This window comes from Homo sapiens, chromosome 4 (assembly GCF_000001405.40).
Source record: "Homo sapiens chromosome 4, GRCh38.p14 Primary Assembly".
Taxonomy (NCBI): Eukaryota; Metazoa; Chordata; class Mammalia; order Primates; family Hominidae; genus Homo; species Homo sapiens.
In genome coordinates, this window is record NC_000004.12 from 189,598,172 (window position 1) to 189,603,709 (window position 5,538).

At 46.7% G+C, this 5,538-nt stretch overlaps 1 annotated feature.

Moving 5' to 3' along the window:
- Positions 3,749-4,948: an enhancer, noted in NCBI's record as "CDK7 strongly-dependent group 2 enhancer chr4:190523074-190524273 (GRCh37/hg19 assembly coordinates)". NCBI's record gives its function as "activates an origin of replication core promoter dependent on BRD2, BRD4, P300/CBP, MED14 and CDK7 cofactors, with strong dependence on CDK7, by STARR-seq in HCT116 cells {active_cell/tissue: HCT116}" and the evidence as "EXISTENCE:reporter gene assay evidence [ECO:0000049][PMID:35650434]".

Here is a 5,538-nt window from a genome sequence, read left to right on the forward strand (position 1 = left end):
TCTTCTATTTTCCTTCCAACGCTTCTCTCCCCACTCAGCTATCTGTAGTTATAACTGGCAATAAATACTCATTGCTTCAAGTTGGCTTTCTTTCTGGTACCCCGACCCTTGAGAGATGATGATACTTGATTTTCTCTTTTTCTTTGATTTCTGACCCCCTGTCCATCTTTAACCACATCTTGTTGCCTATGTCTCATCTCCTCCTCCATGAGATGGGCCACCCCACTCCATTCCTGCATGGAACCTTAGTCCCCGGACTCTGCCTGGCTCAGGGTTAAGGGTCAGACACTTGCTGAGAATGGCAGTTCAGACTCCAACACACTCTCTCAGAACCCATTGGATAACTGCAAGGAAAACACACACAAAATAAAACACAACCCAGCAATTCCATACGTGTGCAAACTATGACTGCATTCAAGAAGGCCAAACTTACTAGAAGGCATTCACATGAGCATAAATAACAGAATCTAAATCGAAATAGTCATAGTAAAGACTGTGTTCCAAGTTTTTGAACTTTTTATGTTTATTACTTCGAAAGTACTTGGTTTAGATGGTGCCTAATGAAACAAGAGGATGTAATGATGGTGGATATTGAAGTTCATAAGTTGAGGTTAATTTGACCCAAATGGAAGCTAATGTGCTGTTGTGGAGGATAGTACAGAGGAAGAATTTAGAAAGATAATCTCAGTGCTATGTGCAGAAGCCACTACTGGCCCCATTTCTAGGGCACTTCGATGAGAGAGTAAGTAAATGGAAATATCTGAACATAAGAAAGAAGAAGCAACAGACTTGAAGACAAGCCAGCCATAAGTGGAAAAGTGCAGAAAAAGGATAAAAATGACCAGAGTTTGCATTTTATGTCACGACTTACACATATGAAAAAGCTGGGAAAAGGACAGGGGAACACAATCCTGCTTTTATGGTGAAGGGGAGATGTGTGTAGCAGATGCACCTGTGGAAATCACTTAAGCAAAGCCTGAGAATGTACCTGCACCAGATCTGTGTAAACTGCATGCTTTTGACAAATGACAGTGCTCCTCCTGTCCAGCCTGCCACCGCTCAATGGCCCTGTATGAAAGTTTCCTTAATAAACCCTGTGTCCTGTTCACTGGCTCCAGGTCTTTTCTTCAGCCTCTTGAACCTGTTGCCATCCCCACCAAAGCCAATAAGGATCCAGCACAACTGGTGAGGAAGCCAGTAAGTCAGAGCAAACCCCGTGAATGCCAAGATGATAGCATCAGGGAAGGGGAGATCCGTGGGGGAGACCCTGGGCTGGCTGTCCATGCCTATGATCAGGGAAGGGGAGATCCATGGGGGAGACCCTGGGCCGGCTGTCCATGCCTATGATCAGGGAAGGTGAGATCCGCGGGGGAGACACTGGGCTGGCTGTCCATGCCTATGATCAGGGAATGGGAGATCCATGGGGAAGACCCTGGGCCGGCTGTCCATGCCTATGATCAGGGAAGGGGAGATCCGTGGGGGAGACCCTGGGCTGGCTGTCCATGCCTGTGATCAGGGAATGGAGATCCACGGAGGAAACCCTGGGCCAGCTGTCCATGCCTATGATCAGGGAAGGGGACATCCACAGGGGAGACCCTGGGCTGGCTGTCCATGTCTATGTGGGCCTTATAGCCACTATCCTTAATGGATGAGGCCAAATGAGTGAGTATGATAACCCCCTGAAAATGCTGAGAGGTCTGGAAGAGCTGTGGCAGGGGGCATATCTATCTAAGCAAGGTTAGATGCCCAAGTTTTGGCAGCCACAACGGGCGGCTGCTCCTGACTACACTCCAAACAGACACTGAGGCTCAGCTCACAGCACAGGCAAAGGTGCATCAAGTACAAGAAAATTTATGACCAGAAAGAGATACAAGATTATCTCAGGTTGAAACATCAGAGACTTACTGTCCTGCCTGCGAGAACAGGGCGGCAAAATGGAGACTCTGGATCATTGGGTAGCCCATTTGAAGGGTCGCTGACTGCCACATCTACTAGTCAGGACTATCATGACCCAATCATCCTGGGGCCCTAAGTCCTAGGGCCCCATGGAGAGCCCCGCTGGGAGGAGAGTGAGGACAAGGACTGAGATAAGCCCATAGAGGTTACCAGCCCCCGATGCACATCTAGTGGACACCACCAAGATAAAGGCAGGCCAATCACGCCCTCAGGGAGTAGACCCACAAAACTCTCCCCTGCCTGAAAGATGGCAGCACGACAGTGCAAGGCAGCACCACTGTGGAACTGTCTCCACTGCCTGAAAGATGGCAGCACAACACAGCACAGGGCGGCACCACTGTGGAACTGTCTCCCCTGCCTGAAAGATGGCAGCATGACACAGCGCAGGGCAGCACCACTGTGGAACTGGTGGAGCTGGGAAATAGTTTCAGGAGGAGGGGGGAGAGCTGATCACGGGTGGCTTCTACCTCTAGGGGACATGAGGTGCTGTATCTCTGCATTTGAGGTGAGTGGAAAGGTGTCCACCACAATCCACCCGGTCCTGAGGCAGCACCGCTGCAGCTCCAGTAATGAGGATTGAGCCATCCCCATGGTAGCTGGGTGGTTGTGGCTGCAAGGGGAATTGGCCAAATGAGTAAGACACCACCCCCACCCCGTCTCCTCTGCAATGCCAGCCTACCACGAAAATGCCAGACATTCTCTGGGAATTAAGAAGGAAGCATATTGTCTATGCTGAGCAGACATCCCCACGTCTCCTCTGCAACGCCAGACTATGACGAAAATGCCAGACATCCTCTGGGAATTAAGAAGGAAGCATCCTGTCTATGCTGAGCAGACATCCCCACGTCTCCTCTGCAATGCCAGACTGTGACGAAAATGCCAGACATCCTCTGGGAATTAAGAAGGAAGCATGCTGTCCGTGCTGAGCAGACATCCCCACGTCTCCTCTGCAACACCAGACTATGACGAAAGTGCCAGACATCCTCTGGGAATTAAGAAGGAAGCATGCTATCTATGCTGAGCACTATCTAGTTTCCAAAAATCAGCTTTTGTTCACTGGTGGCATGAAAGATGTCATCTTAGAGCCAGCATCCAGTCAGTGGTACGGTGTGCTAGTGTCTCTCCTGAACCCTTAGGCAGGACAGCCAGAGTCTCCAGTGGCCCGAGCAGCCACTGGCTTAGGAGACATGAAGAAACTGCATGGGCAAGGGGTGCATGCTACAAGGATGAAAGTCAAGGGCGCCAAAGGAAAGGGGGCAACCAAAGGGCCAGCAGGGTGACCCACTGGGTGTGACACTAGTCACTTGGTAATATGCAAAATATTGTCGCTCCCTCAAACATAAGAACAACGGGCCTTTACCATCTTCCCCTGGAAATATCATCCCAGAGGGGGAGGGTACATGTGTTCCATTAACTTCGAGTGTTTTTCCAGCTTACAAACTGCAACAATCACCTTGCTGTCTCACTTGGAGAACAGAGGATGGGTGGTCAACACAAAGTCCAGGGGCCAGGCTTATCAATCAAATACCTGGGTGTCATCTTGTTGGATGGTGTGCAGCAAACCTCTTTGCCGACTGGGTGCAGATGGTGGCATCTCTCCAGAAAAAATCCAGACTGTTGGGTGTGCGAAGAGCTGTCCTCTCCACCGCAGGCCTGCCACTGAGCATGTAAGGTCAACTCCCAAGCACTTGGGAAAACGTTATGACTGTTATTGTATTTGTTATTCTGTTTTGTTGTAATTTGTGTTGCTGCTGTGAGATCTGGCTGCAATGTTCCTCCCCATACCTGGCCCAGGGAGGTCGTGGAGGAATGACACGGTGAGAATGTGAGCGGCATTCCAGGGTCTGCTGGGGAGGAGGGTACGGTAGACACACCTGACAGGAATAACTTAATTTAAGCATACCCTGAGCATGCAGGCTCACCTAGTCTGTATAGACTGCATGCTTTTTATAAATGGTAGCAGTTCTGCTGTCCATGTCCAGCCTCCCACCAGTGGACTGCCCTGTATGTAAGTCCCCTCAGTAAACTCTCTGTCTCATTCACTGGCTCCAGGTCTCTTCTTCAGTCTCTTGAACTTGGTGCCATCCTTACTGAAGACAACAGGGATGCAGCATGGTAAGACCTCCTTTAGACAATAGAAGAAAAAAATTGAGGACTGAAAAAAATGAGAAGCCTGACTAAATAAAAATTATATCTAGGAATCTGTTGTTTTGTTGGTAAAACAAGATTGTTCCAATATTTTTCATGTTTAAATGAATACCTAAAAATGCTATGACTAAAAGAAATACAAACTTCAAGGTATATTGTTAATATTCTTCTTCCTCTTGATAATTAGTTCCTGGAAATTTCCAATCAGCTTTGTATTTGAAGAAAAGAACTATGCATATTTATATTAACAGAAAGAGAAACCAGTAAAATAGAATTAATTGAAAATGGTAGCATTTCTTCTAATATATATTTTTAAATGTTTGAAGTGATATTAAGAGAAAGTTTAATGTAGCAATGGCCATTTAACCTAACACTCATGGTGACTTCCTTATGGCAATCTGAACTTGCTAGACAAGGGCAACAAGTTCTGCGTTCAGTATCCAATTTGGGATTCCTCTGTCATACCTCTCCTTCACCTGTGCTTTTCCAGATATTGTTTCTAGAGAAGTTTCGCATGGAAGGAACTTTGTCTTATGTAAATGAGAGGAAATGGGTCTCACATCAATGTCATTTTGCATATGACATGTGGGCATATTTTACCTTCAACAGAACAAATGCTTTCTTTTTTTTTACTTCTTTATCTACAATTATGAACTATAGGGAGAGTTTCAGACACTGGCAAATATAGCAACAAAACTGAAAATGCATTTAGTATACCTTCTAGCACTTAAGTTAGAGGTTACAAGAGAGCAGGCCTCAGAGTCCGAGAGATTTCAGTTCCACCTGAAATGCTGAAAATCGTTCTGGAGAGTGAATAGGTGAGTGTGTTGCATCCCTGTCCTGGTTTCAGTTCTCTTGGAAGTTATGTGAGGATCTGGTCTCACACCTTACCCCGAGAGAGCCCTGAAGGGCCCAGGATGTCCACAAAGAAGCTGAGGGGGCTGGACATGCACCTGGCAGAGGCCTCCACAGCCCCTGTGAAGCCTGCTGTGGACTCACTTCAATCAAGCATCCTCACCACCTTCTCCAATTTTCATCACCTCCCTTGAAAGAAACACAGTTTATTACTCTCATAGCAGCCTTCACGGTGTATGAGCTGGAAACAGACCGTGCAAGACTCTCTAGGGTGTAAACAGTCTATTCTTGTGCTTCTCTGAGTATTTGGAGGAAAAGAACCAGATTTGGAGGAGGTTGGTTGGTTTCTTGTTTGGTTTTGTTTTTCCTAATCTATTGTAGACCAACACTATTAAAAACTACAAAATAAATGAATTGCTAAAACAGACCACATTTTTACTTCACATGGCAACATCAAATTTCTTTACAAGTTTCTAAATGGTCAGTTTCTGGACTTATCATTCCTAATGTTAGGTCCCCAGATCCACAAAGGACTCCTGGTCACTGTCTCCAGATCATTCTTTGAATAGCACTGGTCTA